Source organism: Homo sapiens, chromosome 15 (genome assembly GCF_000001405.40).
Source record: "Homo sapiens chromosome 15, GRCh38.p14 Primary Assembly".
Classification (NCBI taxonomy): Eukaryota; Metazoa; Chordata; class Mammalia; order Primates; family Hominidae; genus Homo; species Homo sapiens.
Genome location: NC_000015.10, coordinates 100,747,853 through 100,764,049, shown reverse-complemented (window position 1 = coordinate 100,764,049; position 16,197 = coordinate 100,747,853). Strand labels below are relative to the sequence as shown.

The window sequence follows — 16,197 nt, the reverse complement described above, 5'->3', positions numbered from 1 at the left end:
GAGGCCTGTTCACCCCTCTAGCACCCACTGCCTGCCTGGATGCAACCTCTTGAAGGCATATGAGAGGTGGCCTTTTCACATCTGTCCCGTTGCCGGGGAAGCCGGGATGGTCATCTGCTCCTCAGGTCCCTTGGGAGGAAGGCACGAGGGAGCTGCTGCTGACTAAAGCTGGAGGAGCCGTTCCCCCACCCCACAGGCTCCCTTGTCAGTCATTCCTCTTTGCCTGTAGCTCTTCCTCCCTTCCAGCCAGACTCAAGGCTGGGGCTGACTGTCTCAGGGAAGGGAGACCCGGAAGAGCCCAGTGAGGCCTGCAGGGGAAGCCTCGACCCATGGAGTCCAATCCTGCTCTCAGAAGCACACACAAGGATGATAGCTTTGAGAGGACAAAGGCATCTGGCACTTCCTGCAGAAGAGGAGGGAAGAGTGTGGGATAGGATGACAGGGGGGTTCCTGCTGACTGAGAGGCCCCAGGATCAGGCCCTGCACTGTGGGATGACTCACCCCACTTTCCAGGGGTCAGAGATACCTCATGGTAGGTTGAGGGATGCCAAGGCAGAGGAACTTGGACCCCCTTTTTCCTCTGAGACTCTGTGGCCTGGCTGGTGGCCATCTGGAGAGACACGGTCTGGAGGAGACTGGGACAGAGGTGGGGTGGCACTTGTCCTCTGCAGAGCTGAAATGGCCTGGGGGGCACTCACAGCTTTCTGGGGCTCCTAGGAGCGAGGTGGAGATGGCTAAGAGTTGGCAGTAGAGGACATGGAGTGGGGGCCCCATTCAGTGAGGATGTGCAGAGGTTTGAAGGCTGGCCTGCCACCTAGATGGCCCCTGTCCCATGCCAGGGTGGCATGGAAGCTCCCTGTCAGCACTGGACTTCCCCAGGGATAAAGGGCAAGGAGAGGGGGGGAAGAGACTCCGGAACTCATCTGATGGGTCAACACTCACAGGTCAGGAAGTGTCAAGCGCTGGGCCTCCATTCGGTGCTGCTGATGTGTGTGTCTGCCCTCTGCCAGCACCACGCTTGGTTTCTATAGCTCTGTAGTAAGTCTCAGTACCGGGTATGTGGTTTCTCCTACTTCATTCTCCTCTGTCAGAGATTGTTATCTCGGGCCTTTCCTTTTTCATATATATTATAGAATAAGCTTGTCTGTATCTGTAAAAACCTTGCTGAGATTTTGATAGGAATGGTGTTAAAACTGCCGTCAGTTTGGGTAGAAGAGACATCTGTCGTGCTGAGCCTTCGAATCCATGAACCCTGACGTGTCTCCATGCGTTAGGTCTTCCTTGATTTCTTTCATCAGTGGCTTGTAATTTTCATCACACAGACTCTTATTTTTTAAACTCATAAAAAGATTCACCTAGAGCTTTCCAGGTTCACTGTAGCATCCTCTTTGTCTTTGTTCTTGCCGTCTTGCTGAAGGCAGTACTCCATCCCACTAAGGACACCTCGTTGAGCTCCAGGTCCATGTAATCCACGCCAAGTTGTGACTATGCGCAAACTTATCCACCTCCGGGGGTGGGGAACACATCCTGCTGAGGCAGCCCCTCCTCCGACTGTGCCCGCCAGAAAGTTCTTGCATGGAGTACATTTCTGCACCCAGGCGCCCTGGCTCTACCCCAGGGCCACCCACCCACAGTTCGAATCCCTGACTTTCTCTGCTTTGCAAACCTTTTGTCTCTTCTCTAAGCCTCAACTCAGAGCACTCCGCTGGGTATTTCTCAAAATTCGCCTCCCTGCGCTGACTGGTCCTCATCTTCTTTCAGCTCCTGACACTGTCAATCTGTTTCTGAAACACACATGAAACACACACTCTCTCTCTCTCTCTCCTCTTCTTCCTTTGTCTCATCACCCCACATTCCTTTCTCTTCCTCTCCAAGCCCGTCCCACGTCCTGGCTGCCCTCACAGGTGACAGCTGAGATCTGACTTACACCTGGCCAGGGACAAGGCACCTTCCACCTGCTCCCAAGTGTCCCAAATGAACCCAGAGAAGAATTGAAACAGACTCCAATGGCTCTTCTCTTTCAGGATACTGTGCCACATGTAGGGATGAGCAGGGAAGCTTCCACACGAAGCCATCTAAACCTCAGTCTAACTTTGTTTTTGCAGGCTCTGGCAATGATGCCAGACTCTATGGGACAACAGGTCACCAAGGCAACCCTGCCCAGTGGATTTGGCCAACGTTTTGGACCGTGTAAATAACACCTCTATTCATGTCCAGCTGCTGGTGACCCGGAAGAGGCAGCAGACGCTGTGGAGGCTTTGCCAGCCTCCCTGCCTGGATCATGAGACCCTGAGCAATACACTTGTCTTTCTGAGTCTCTGCTTCCTCCTCACAAGGCAGGGTGCTAAGATCTACCTCCCAAGGAGCTGGTGTGCATTGTGGAAATCAGATACAGTGCCGAGCACCACGCCTGGAACTGTGGTCATGGCACTGTGACCACCATCGTCATTAGCGTTTTGGAGGGAGGCCACGCAGTTCTGTGGCTGCTTGTGTCTCTGAACTTGCTCACTCATGTGGCTCCTTAAAGAGTGGTTTGTGGTGGTTTCTTCCTCAGATGAGAACAGCACCGGGTCCCGGGTTTCTATTTGCCTTGCATCTCCCAAAAGTGCTGACTTACTCAACCAAGTACACCCAGGCCCCGGGGCTGACCAGGGAAGTGATTCAGGGTGTGGCACAGGGGTGGGCAGGAGCACCCACCTGCTTGAGCCCCACAACACCATTGGGTGCGGCTGCCCAAGGACCCCCAACACTCATCCACACTTTTGGCCCTTTAGAGACCCAAGGCTTAGACTGCTCCAAGAAGGGAGGCTGCACCCTCAGCTGGAGAGAGGATTCAAATGGTAGCTAGCAAGACTCCAGAGATGTACAAGCAGCTGGGGGCCACCAGATACAGCAGGCAACCGGGCCCTTTAAGTGTGGCTAGTCCAGATTGGCATGTCCTGAGAGTGTAAAATCCACACTGGATTTCAAAGACTTTGTACCAAAATTTATATATGTATTTTTATATATAATAATATCTTAGATATTAGATATATATCAGATATATAGATAACATAATATATATTAGATATATGTATATCTAATATATCTAACATAATAGATAATATATACATTAGAATCTGTTTCTTTTCACTTTAAAAATATGGCTACCAGAAGCTTTGAAATGACACGTGGCTGGTATTTACAGCTCACGTTGTGTTTCTATAGGGTAGTGCCACTCAACAGACTGTCCAATATATATGACTTGTTTTAGGGGCCTGGTCCTGGGAGGCCAGGGTCCTCCTCTTTCCTTGATCCCAGGAGATCCTGCAGGGTCCTCGCCACCTAGCCCCCTTGGCCTTGGTGCACATACAACAAAATCCAGAACCCTGGAAGGCTCCTGTGCTCCCCTGCATCTTTGGATCTGCACACCCAGCCCTGTGCACACAGTCCCTCAAGCACATATAGCTCTTTTATGAAACTTGGGAACAGGACTTCCTGATTCAAGGTACTTTCCTGGTGTCCTCCAGAAAATCAACACAATAAACATGCAAATCTATGACAGCTACCGTGGGAATAATGTCTCGGATACAGCACCCTTGTCCAGTATGCAGCTTGCACAGCCGTATGTGGCAGCCCTGCCAGTATCTAGCTGCTCAATATTAGTTGGAGAGATAATTAAGGAAGAAATAATAGGGACTCCCACCCCCATGATGTTTCTGGGCTGAGGCTGCACCTCTTGTCCAATGAAAATGACAGTTTTTTTCAAGCAAGAGGCCACTTCTCAGGACTGTGGCCCTAGCCTCACTCACTGCCCACACGTGAAAACCACGTCAACGTAGCAGCACACCTCCAACATTCAGAAAGTTCATACAGCTACGGGCAGAAGGTAAACACCTACTGATGCTTCAAGCCCAGCCTAGGACCCTCTGCGAAGAATCTCCGTCTCTGCACTGCTGATGTCACAGAACAGCCCAGGGAGGGGTCGCTGGGCTAGTCTAACCTGAGCTGTTACCGTCTTGGTTGAGGGACCATTGCTTTGTTGGAGGATGGGTGCCGATACAGACTGGTGCAGTGTGCTGGCATGCTTTTATCAGAGAGTGCTGATACACATCTGCTTAGAATGATTAAAGTTTCTCATCTCGTCTGACTCATAGGGCAGCATCCACAGAAAAGCAGAGGATGAGATAAGCCGGGAGGGCTGGGAGTGTCCGACTTTCACAGCTCTGTTTTCACCTCACAATGTCCTGTTTGCTCTCAGTGAGTTTGTTGGTTGGTTATATAAACATGTAGATATTTACTCATCTGTGGCAGGGTGAGTTTAACCCTTTTCTTCCTTAGCTTCTCACATATAGCTTTTATTTGTGTTTCATTCATGTTTAGCGTTGATGATTTCTCTCATTTGACACTTTTCCATTACATGGAAATTTCAGTCCCCAGAAAAAATGTAAAAGAGGGTGTTTTGCTTGTTTGTGAATTCATCTTTCTTTTCTTTTAAAAGCATTTTCTATTTTCCCACATATGAGTTTGATTGCAACTAGAGAGCAACAGGAAGTGAGTGAGGGGCCAAGCTGAGAGCATCAAAACAATTCTCAGCCCCGTTTTCCAGAGCTCCTTGCAGTTCCTTTAACCAAATGGATGCTTTGCGGAGAGTTAGGTTATTTAGTACAGTAAACAATTTTTTTCTTTTCCTTTCAGCCACTTAATGTGGTATCATGAAAGGAAGATCAACTTCTTAATGAAAAAAAGCTGTGATGGAAGAGGAGGCTATAGCACATCAGGAGCGCTTCCAGGCTTACATAAGTAACATTCCTGCTGCATAAACATCTTGGCAAATCCGGAGACTAAATCCCATCCCACACCGCTGGCCTGAACCAAACACTGTATAATGTTTTAAAAAAGAAAAAGAATCCCGTTGATGGTAACAGTTTTCTTTCCAGAAACAAGTCATTAGTTTGGACAAAAAAATCCAATTGCATCTGCTGAGCTCCCCAAAGTTCTAGTGGAAATTATTATCTAGAGAAAAAGCAAGTGAGGAGTAAGAGTGGAGGATTGTGATCTCTTAAGAGTAAAACAGAAACGGCACTTAAACCCCATGATGTGCCTTTCAGCGCAAAATTGCAAACCCCAAATAATTAAACTATCCTAATTTGGCAAATGTCAACAAGAGAGTTCAAAAATAATCATCATAATTTTAATGCATTATTAACTCTACTAGAGATTTTAAACAAAATTAAACATTGATCTATTTACTTAACTCCTGAAATGACATGAAGTTGAAGCATACAGGCCGGGTGTGGCAGCTCATGGCCATAATCCCAGCATTTGGGAGGCCTTGGTGGGCGGGTCACCTGAGGTCAAGAGTTCGAGACCAGCTTGGCCAACATGGAGAAACCCCATCTCTACTAAAAATAGAAAAAAAAAAAAAATTAGCCAGGCGTGGTGGCAGGTGTCTCTAATCCCAGCTACTCTGGAGGCTGAGGCAGGAGAATCACTTGAACCCGGGGTAGGCGGAAACGTTGCAATGAGCTGAGATGGCACTGCTGCACTCCACCCTGGGTGACAGAGTCAGATTCCCGGTCAAAAAAAGAACATTCATTAAACATTTACTGTGGCCAGGGGCTGTGGCTCACTCCTGTAATCCTAGCACTTTGGGAGGCTGAAGCGGGCAGGTCACCTGAGGTCAGGAGTTCGAGACCAGCCTGGCCAACACGGTAAAACCCCGTCTCTACTAAAAATACAAAAACGAAATTAGCTGGGTGTGGTGGCAGGCACCTGTAATCCCAGCTACTCAGGAGGCTGAGGCAGGAAAATCACTTGAACCTGGGAGGCAGCGGTTGCAGTGAGCCAAGACTGAGCCACTGCATTCCAGTCTGGGCAACAGAGCGAGACTCTGTCTCAAAAAAAAAAAAGAAAGAAAGAAAAGTATGTACTTGGTGCTCTTTGGAGCCCCAGCTTTCCTGTAATACATACATAGGAATTCATATTAATATTTGTTCCCAAGAAAAGATGGGACTTACAGAGCACTATCTGTTTCATAACATATTCTCCATGACATTTTAATTCCAAGAAGTACTAACACCAAGTTGTGAGGAAAAACTATTCCTTCTTTCTAAGTGTTTGAGGCATAAAAGCAAAGTCATATTCCAATAAAACCAGTTTCCATGGTTCCTGAGCTACAAAGAATATTTGCATTTCTTTCTTCAATTCCCACAAGTAACAACTCTTCAGAAGTAGTTCCTCTAAAGTCTTTTCTTCCAAAAGTCTGAACAGACCAATGATCATAGAAGTGATAGAGAAAATAGTTAGAGCTCCTCCTAGACGCCCCCAAAGGGCATCAAGTCCAAATCATTTCTCAGTGCTTCTCAAATTACTCCACTCCACAGGAAAAGAGGGAAACTTCCAATTATTTACAAAGCCAAGAGTATTACTGGTTTGAAAACTTGACAAAGAGTTTAACTAAAAGTAAAACTACAGACCAATCTCACTCACTAACATTGATAGGAAAATGTTAAAGAAAATCTAAGCAAATAGAATCAGGAAATCAGGACCAAGGCAAAGATGTTCACTATCATCATTACTGTATAAAGTTGTATTGGAGGGATTAGCCAAAGAAAGAAAAAGAGGAAATAACTACAAGCAGATCAATTTGAAAGGAAACAATAACAATAAAAAAAAATCTGTGTAGATGATATGATGATATATTAGGAGAGTCCCCAAATAATCACTGGAAAAGCTAAGGCAAACCATAAGACAATTCAGTAAAATAGCAGGCTATGAAATGAATAAACAGGAGCCAAAGCCTCCATATCTATAAACAAAGGCCATCTAGGAGGAATAATAAAAGGGAAGATCTCATTTCTGATAGGGAGAAAAAAGACCTTAGTGTAAACTTAATGAGAAATGTGCAACCTATTCAAGGAAAATATGAAACTTTTGTGAAAGATGCAAAAGTGTAATTAAGGAAATTGAGAGATATACCATGTTCGTAGATAGGAAGACTGAACATCAAAAAGATATCAATTTATTTTAAAATAATTTATAAATTTGGCATGTTCTCAATAAATATTATGGCTTTTTTTCTGGAGCTAGGCAAGCTGATTCAAAGGTTTAATTGAAGCACAAACAAGCAGAAATAGCCAGGAAAATCTGAAAAAACAATGTGGAGAAACTAGCGTTACCAAATATTAAAACATATTACAAAGTTTTTATCATTTAAAAGAACAGTATAGAACTGGTGCACAGACTGATGGGACAGAATAGAAAAATCCAGAAATAGGCTCAACCGCTCATGGAAATTTAATATACACCAAAGGAAGCATCTCAAATCAGTGGAGAAAAAATAGACTTTTAAAATAAGTGGCACTGGAATAATACCTGCATAGCTACAGAAAAAAAAGAGAAAACTGATTTGTTTCTCACCCTGTATACAAAGATAACTTCTTATTAGTTCAGAGATTAAATATTTAATATTATGGAATAATAAGAAATCATATAAAATAAAAAATGAATAAATTACTGATAATTCAGGGTGGGGGAAAAATGTTCCTAAACTATGACTGAAAATCCAGAAGCAATTAAGGAAAAGACTGACAAATTTGACAGCATATAAACAGAGGAAAACTTTTGCATGAAAAAAAAAACAAACAAAAACACCATAAATAAATGAAAAAGGAAAAATAGATTGTGAAAGAGTTTCTTAAAAGAGAGAAGAAAAAGACTAAGAATCTCATAGAAAAATAAGCCAGAGCTATGAGCAGATATATCAGAAAAAAATGCAAATAGCCCTCATCCACATGCACATTGATTAACCACCTTCACAATAAGAGAAATTTAAATGAAAACTATAATGAGTATTATTCTTACATTTAAGGGACAAAAATCCAAAAGTTTGATGAGAAACTTAGTGCTGGTGGGAGTAAGAAAAAATTATTCAACACTATGAAAAGAAATTTTGAAATATTTAGCAAAATTACACAAGCATTTGATCCAGAAATCTCCCTTTAGAAATCTATTACAAATACATATTCCCAAAATGTTTTTTAAACATGCATGGTTATATTAAAAGACAGGAAACAATTAAAATGTCCACAAATACAATCATATAAAGTTAGTGTTCAAACTATAGTACTTCTACTCAATGGAGAATTATTCAGATGTTAAGAGAAATGAGGACTCTCTCTATGCATTGCTAAAGACAATCTCCAGAATATATCATTTTGTGAAGAAAAAACAATTGAAGAATACATTTTTAAAGAGAAACTTTTGTTTTTGTGCAATATAAATGTTCTACATAAAGTGAAATATGAGGAACATTTATAAAGTAATTTGTGAAAATAAAAAGTCAGATTTAATGAAATAAGTCTCTGTATTGACTTAATGTCCTAGCCATACAGAGGGGTATATTTTAAAACACAGTAATTCTATGGAACATTTCTAGTGCGGTATACCCCAATGACCAAAAAAAGTAACTGCAAAGAAATCTTAATTGTTACTAATCATGTTGCTAGAAATCATTTGGGAATTGATGTTCTCAAGCTTATGTATATGCTAACATGAAGTAAATAACCGTACAAATGTTAGGAATCAAGATTTTAAATAAAAGAGGTCCAATGTAAAATCTTTGTAATACTAAATTTGAATCTGAAGATATCAGAATAAACTCATAATGTGTTTCCTTTAAGAAAAATGTATTTCCTTGTTCCATTTGTTCACAAAGGCCTAGAAACAATGATCAGCCGACGAGTGATAAACACCACAAATGCCTCGATTTTGGTCTCTAAATTCCATTTTTCACCAAAAGAAATCAGGCTCTTTGAAGAAATGTCTGGATCCAGGTGTGGAGCAGGAAATACACAAGATAAACCTGGATCATCTTGTCAAATCTGAGAACATGTACACAGTCATGGACGGCTGCTATTGGGTCAAAGGGATTCTTTGTAGGACCGCAGAAGGCTCCTACTGGCCAAAGGTAGTACAATATGAGCATCAAGAACAGCAGTTACAATGCATTGAAGCATAAAAAACACATAAATATGTCTAATCCGTGAGTTCATAATGATAAGCAAAAAAACATGAGACAGACGCCAAACTCATTTTTAACTTTTAAGGCTAATGGAATGCCAGTTTATTATTCTGAAATCTGTAAACAAAGGGGAAAAAATTAAACATTTATCTGGCCTTCCCTGAAGGAACTGTGCCTCAGGGTAACAAAGTTTTTGGTGAGAGGAAGTTTCTCTTTGTAGAAGTATTTTAGTTAACACGTGGAGAAGGAATGATAAAGTTGGAAGATCACCATTTTGAAACCTCTAATGGTCATCAATGTCTGCTAAAACCATTAGGCAAAAAGCTGATGGGGAATTTTAATAACTGATGGATCAGGCTAACAATATTTGAAACCATTGATCCATCTTAATAGCACAGAAGGGGAGAGAACCAGAGATTATGTGTCTCCTGATAGAAGTACACACCACCACCCATGAAGTATTTTTGCCAAAAAAAATCCAACCTGTTTATTATAAAGTCACAGATCTACCATTTTATAAGAAACACTGCAGATGGAAGATCATGTTAAATGACACCATAGGGATGCAATCAGCAAGGTCCGGAATCTGACAAACTCCACAGGATGAATGACCTGGATCTTCAACAGGAAAATTAAGGGGGATGGGAAAGATGCTTAAGAGACTCATCAATCCATATGAAATGTGTGACCTTTATTTGAATCCTGATTCAAACAAACCAACTGTAAAAATGAGTTATGAGATAGTTCAGGAAATAAGAATATATGACATTTTTATTGTTAAAATTTTTAGATTTCATAATAGCAATATGGTTTTTTTTTAAGAGTCTTATCTTTTAGATATAAATGCTAAAGTACTTATAGACTAAAATACTTGCTGTGTGGGATTTGCTTCAAAAGAATCCTATCAGGGGAAGGAAAGAAAATGGGCAGGCTAGAGATGCTATGTATTAGCTATGACGTGATGATTATTGAGATGCAATGATGGCTGTTTTTTATACCTTGTATATACATTTGGATATGTTCAGGACTTTTCTAACAAAATGTTAACAAAAGAAAATAAAGTTGTTCTTGATGTCTCAGGAGCCCACAGATGTCTGATGAGAAGGTATAGCGTTTCCATCCATGGATAGAACTTGTTAGGGTATACAGAAAAGACTCAAACCTCAGTTGCCTGTCCCCCATCCTTCATGCCAGACTCTCATGGTCAAGATTTCCAGAAATATAAGGACTATCTATGTAGTTTACATACAAGTGGGATGATATAGTTGGGGAGAGGAACTCAAATATCTAAAGCCCTGGGTAAGATGGGGGTAGGGGGTGGAATTTAATTGTATATTGGGAAATAACCACCACAAAACTTCTTTGACTAACAGGAGAAGAATTTTTTATCGAACTCTCAATCTGAAGATCATTAATTTTCTACCAAAAGTCAGGGTACACATGAACACCTAAATTCATTACTCACATCCATAAAGTTCATTGCTGCATCCAAAGATAAATGCAAAATCATCCACAAGTTGTTATATGGGGCATCTTTTCAGACTACTAACTTGGGTTATGTCTACTGTTGAATAGATCTGTGCAGTGTTTTATATGTCAGGGAAGTTAAAGCTACAGAACTAAGGTTGATAAAGATCCAACTTAAAGCATAAAATTTTATTTATTTATTAATTTATTTTTATTTGCATAGGTTATTGGGGAACAGGTGGTGTTTGGTGACATGAGTAAGTTCTTCAGTGGTGATTTGTGAGATTTTGGTGCACCCATCACCCGAGAAGTGTACACTGTACCCAATTTGTAGTCTTTTATCCCTCAGCCCCCTCCCACCCTTTCCCTTCTAGTCCCCAAAATCTACTGCATCATTTTTAAAGCATCATATTTTAAAAAGGCAAAGGTTGAAAGAGCTAGCAGACAGAGTGGGCTCAATAAGTATTTGCTTACATGTTAGAAAAGCAACACTGGTATCTACCCTACTCTGCTATTTTCAGAAATACAGACAATGCAAATCACGAAAGTAGACACTCAATAAATGGTAATTATAAGTGAAAGACTAGCTGTGGGGCAGAGTAGATAATCATGATGAAGAACCATGAGCCAGAGAACTAAACAGGTTCTTGGCTAAAGGCCTCATTGATGTTCTAATGAGGAGACCTAATGGAATGTCTAAATGGGAGCTGCATGTGCTATTTAAATATAGGTTGCTGTGCATATCTATCAATTGTTTAGCTGATTTCATAGGGTGCAATGATTGTCTTTATTCAATCCCAAGCAAGAAAGCACATCAGAGATTGTTCCAGAGAGGGAATTGAACTGGAGGACCAAAGGATCCTGGAAGTCAATATTCTGGCACCCAGAGTGACCAGCATGTGATGAGCTGTACCCTTACAAAGTGGCACCTAATATACTCCTGCTGCTATTTGTGTACATGCATATATTAGATTAACCATAATGAAACTGCTGATATGCAACCATCATTGACCAAAAAAACAGCAATGTCATAGGATTCAACTTAATACTGTGAAACTTGAACATGCGGAAGAGATGGAGAAGTAGGTGAGACTAAAGTTCCTCAAAGGTGGAGGTTCTCAATGCTCCAAATACTCTCTTTATAACTAATGCTTTATAATGTCCCTGTTTTTATCCTGAAATAAAAGTCAAGTAACATAACTCAACCACATTTAAAAAGTTTTTAAATTCAGTACTAGTCCCTAACTTTAATGTAATGCAGAAATGAGAAGAAGTTACTTTTTAAAAAATAATATATGTGATGGTTATTTTTATGTGTCAACTTGGCTAGGCCAGAGTACCTGAATATTTGGTCAAATACCAGTCTAGTTGTGGCTGTAAAGGTATTTTTTGGATTAGATTAACATTTAAATCACCAGACTTGGGTCCGCATAGTGGCTTACTCCTGCAATCCCAGCACTTTGGGAGGCTGAGGCGGGCAGATCACCTGAGGTCAGGAGTTCAAGACCAGCCTGGCCAACATGGTGAAACCCAATCTTTAATTAAAAAAAATAAATTAGCTGGGCGTAGTGACAGCTGCCTGTAATCCCAGCTACTTGGGAAGCTGAGGCAGTAGAATTGCTTGAACCCGGGAGGCAGAGGTCGCAGTGAGCTGAGATCTTGCTACTACACTCCAGCCTAGGCAACAAGAGTGAAACTTCATCTCAAAAAAAAAAAATCAGCAGATTTTAACTAAACCAGATTAATCCTTCATAAGGTGGATGGGCCTTGTTTAATCAGTTGAAGGTCTTAAGAGCAAAGACTGAGGTCCCCCAAGGAAGAAGGAATTCTGTCTCCAGGATGCCACTGGACTTAAGCTGCAGCGACAACTCTTCCCTGGATCTCCAGCCTGTCAGCCTGCCCTGCAGATTCTGGACATGCCAGCCCTCACAGTTATGTGAGAGCCAATTCCTTAAAATAAGTCAGTCTGTCTCTCTCTCTCTCTCTTCCTATTTCCCCCTCTCTCTCTCCCACCTCTGTCTTCTCCATATATATATATGTGCACACACACACAACACACACACACATATATATATATCTCTAATATGGTATATGTGTCTGCATGTATGTGAATATATCCAATAGTATGTATGTATACATATGTATACACATGCATACACATTCACAGATGCACACTCACACACAATAGGTTGTACACATGTGTATACACAAACACACTCATTCTACTGGTTCTATTTCTCTGGAAAACCATGACTAATATAAGATGATTTAAAAATAAATTTGGCAGCTAACCAGGGAGGTGAAAGATCTCTAATAATGAGAATTACAAAACACTACTCAAAGAAATCAGAGAAGACACAAACAAATGGAAAAAAATCCCATGCTCATGGATAGGAAGAATCAATATCATTAAAATAGACCTACTTTCCAAAGCAACTACAGATTCAATGCTATTCCTATCAAACTACCAACAACATTCCTCACAGAACTAGAAAAAACTTTTAAAATTCATATGGAACCAAAAAAGAGCCTGAATAGCCAAGGCAATCCTAGGCAAAAAAAAAAAACAAGTCTGGAGGCATCACATTACCCAACTTCAAACTATACCACAGAGCTACAGTAACGAAAACAGCATGGTACTGGTACAAAAACAGGCACACACACCAATGTAACAGAATAGAGAGCCCAGAAGTAAGGCCGCACACTTACAACCATCTGATCTTCAACAAAGCTGACAAAAACAAGCAATGGGGAAAAGACTCCCTATTCAATGAATGTGCTGGATAACTGGCTAGCAATATGCAGAATATTGAAGCTGGACTCCTTCCATACACCATATACAAAAGTTAATTTAAGATGGATTAAAGACATAAATATAAAACCCAAAACTATAAAAAACTCTGGAAAACAACCTAGGCAATACCATACTGGACATAGGAACTGGCAAAGAGTTCATGACAAAGACATCAAAAGCAATTGCAACAAAAGTAAAAACTGACAAATGGGATCTAATTAAACTTAAAAGCTTCTGCACAGCAAAAGAAACCATCAGCAGAATAAACAGACAACCTACAGAATAGGAGAAAACATTTGCAAACTATGCATCTGACAAAGGCTAATACTCAGCATCTATAAGGAACTTAAACAAATTTACAAGAGGAAAACAACCCCATTAAAGAGGGGGCAAAGGACATGAACAGACACTTTTCAAAAGAAGACAAATATGTGGTTAACAATTATATGAAAATAAGCTCAATATCACTGATCATTAGAGAAATGCAAATCAAAACCACAATGAGATACCATCTCACAGCAGTCAGAATGTCTATCACTAAAAAGTCAAAAAATAACAGATGCTGGCAAGGTTGTGGGGAAAATGGAACACTTACACACTGTTGGTGGAAATGTAAACTGGTTCAACCATTGTGAAAAGCAGTATGGTGATTCCTCAAAGAGCTAAAGGCAGAACTACCATTCAACCCTGTCGTCCCATTACTGGGTATATACCCAGAGGAATATAAATCATTCTAGCATAAAGACAAATGTTCACTGCAGCACTATTCACAATAGCAAAGACATGGAATCAACCTAAATGCCCATCAATGACAGACTGAATAAAGAAAATGTGGTACATAAACACCATGGAATACTGTGCAGTGATAAAAAAACAAGATCATGTCTTTTGCAGAAATGTGGATGGAGCTGGAGGCTGTTATCCTTAGCAAACTAACACAGAAACAGAAAACCAAGTACTGCATTCTCACTTGTAAGTGGGAGCTAAATTGTGAGAACTTGTGAACACAAAGAAGGAAACAATAGACATTGGGTCTACTTGAATGTTGAGGGTGGGAGGAGGGAGAGGAGCAGAAAAGACAACTATTGGGTACTGGGTTTAATACCTGGGTGATAAAATAATCTGTACAACAAACCCCCATGACATGAGTTTACCTACATAACAAACCTTCACATGTACCCCAGAACTTAAAACAAAAGTTAAAAGAAAAAAAAGAAAAAAAAATCATTGCCAAAACCATTGTCAAAAAAACGTTACTAGGAGTTAACATTACAATTGTGAAAGGAAAATGAATCTTGGGACCCCAAACTCACTAAGCCAGAGGGAAAAGCCAAGCTGGGAACCAGGTCATGCAAACCTGCCTCCCATTTTGATTCCTAAATAAGATGGTTACAAAGATGAAAAGCTACATACTTCCCTCACATTGTGCCCACATGAAAATTCCTTGTGGGACCCAAGATCTTTACCCTGAAGCGGTTCTGTTAAAGTTCACCACAGCCATGTAAATTGATAGCTTATCTTCACAGGTACAGAGACAAAGGACAGAACTCAAAGTCGTCCCTTTGTTCATCTGAGACAAATGCATACGTAATTGTTTCCTCTGCCCTGTTGTCTATGTTATCTTGTGTAAAAATGCAGATTCACTGAGCCAGACAAAGGCATGAATGACTATTTCCCCCTACCCCATTCACATGAAAATTGTGTATTTCTCAGTATCCTACCCTTTCCCTTTTGAATGTTGAAGCCCTCAAAATCATATTTAAAGAAAGGCATAGACCTATCTCCCCGGTGCATGTCCTTAACTTTGGCAAATACGTCTCCTAAAATGATTTTTTTAATTAAAATAAATAAATTAGGAAAAATTCTGCTTCTGGGAAGATGGAGTAGACATATCTTTCCCTAATTTCCCACTAAGCACAACTAAAACTCTGGACATTATATATAAAACAAACACGATAAGTCTCTGAAAGGTGATGAGGAGAAGGTAGGCTGGCTAAGTGCCTTAAGACTCAAGGAATGATGTGGTAGTGAGTTCTGTAGGGTTTCTTTTTGCCTCATATATCCTAAACTTGGAACTGAAAAAGCTGGCAAGCTGGAGATCCCGATGAACACAAACCACCACCACAATAACGAAAGCTTGCTCTCTCTAACAAAAGGGCCAAGAAAGGGGCAGCCTAGCAAGACAGAAAACTTGTACAGACTAACTGCTCTATTCCAGTGAAAACCACAGAAAACATTACCTACATCAGCAAAGACCAAGGAGAGAGCCTAGACTTCTTCCTTTGTGAGACTCTTAACACACACCAAAGGGTGACGTCAGAGAAGACCCAGTAGACACCTAAGATTTTCATCCCCTCTGGTAAGTAATGAGATATGAACCCCCAGGGTCAGTGGAGACAAGTTAGCGAGCTAGACCTCCCACCCACATCCAGCAACAACACAGAACCCCACAGCTTGGGTGTCCACAGAGGCTGAGTGAGGAACCTGCACTTCTACCCCTACCTGGCAGTAACAAGGCAGCACTCCTTTTCCACCTCTGCAAAAACAATGTCAGAGAAAGCTAGCTAAAACAGAAGATTTAAATATGGTCCAAATTTTGCTAACATAATACAAAAATGTCCAGATTAGAGTTGAAAATCACTCATCATGTCAAGAACTAGAAAGATCTCAAATGTAATGAAAAAGACAGTGAACAGATGCCAACATCAGGATGACAAAGACGTTAAAATTATCTTAAAGATATTTTAAAGAAGACAGGATAAAAATGCTCTAACAAGCAATTATGATCACGAAATACATCTAAAAAAAAAACTTAAGAAACAGAAATTTTCCACAAAGAAGATGTAAAGAAGAACCAAATGAAAATTTTAGAACTGAAAAATACAATAGCTGAAATAAACAGCTTAGTAGATGGGTTCAACAGCAGAATGAG

At 40.7% G+C, this 16,197-nt stretch overlaps 1 long non-coding RNA gene across 3 annotated transcripts in view; it reads right to left on the bottom strand.

The window, feature by feature from the left end:
• The window catches only part of LOC105371024 (uncharacterized), a 116,308-nt gene that overhangs the window by 68,317 nt on the left and 31,794 nt on the right, over positions 1-16,197 (bottom strand). Inside the window, exon 3 of one of the 3 annotated variants that reach the window (XR_932728.2) lies at positions 4,895-4,995. The exons of the other annotated variants lie outside the window; for them this stretch is intronic. This is a non-coding gene — a long non-coding RNA (uncharacterized LOC105371024). Of the gene's footprint in view, positions 1-4,894; positions 4,996-16,197 lie in introns of those variants that run through there. 3 annotated transcript variants of the gene reach the window in all.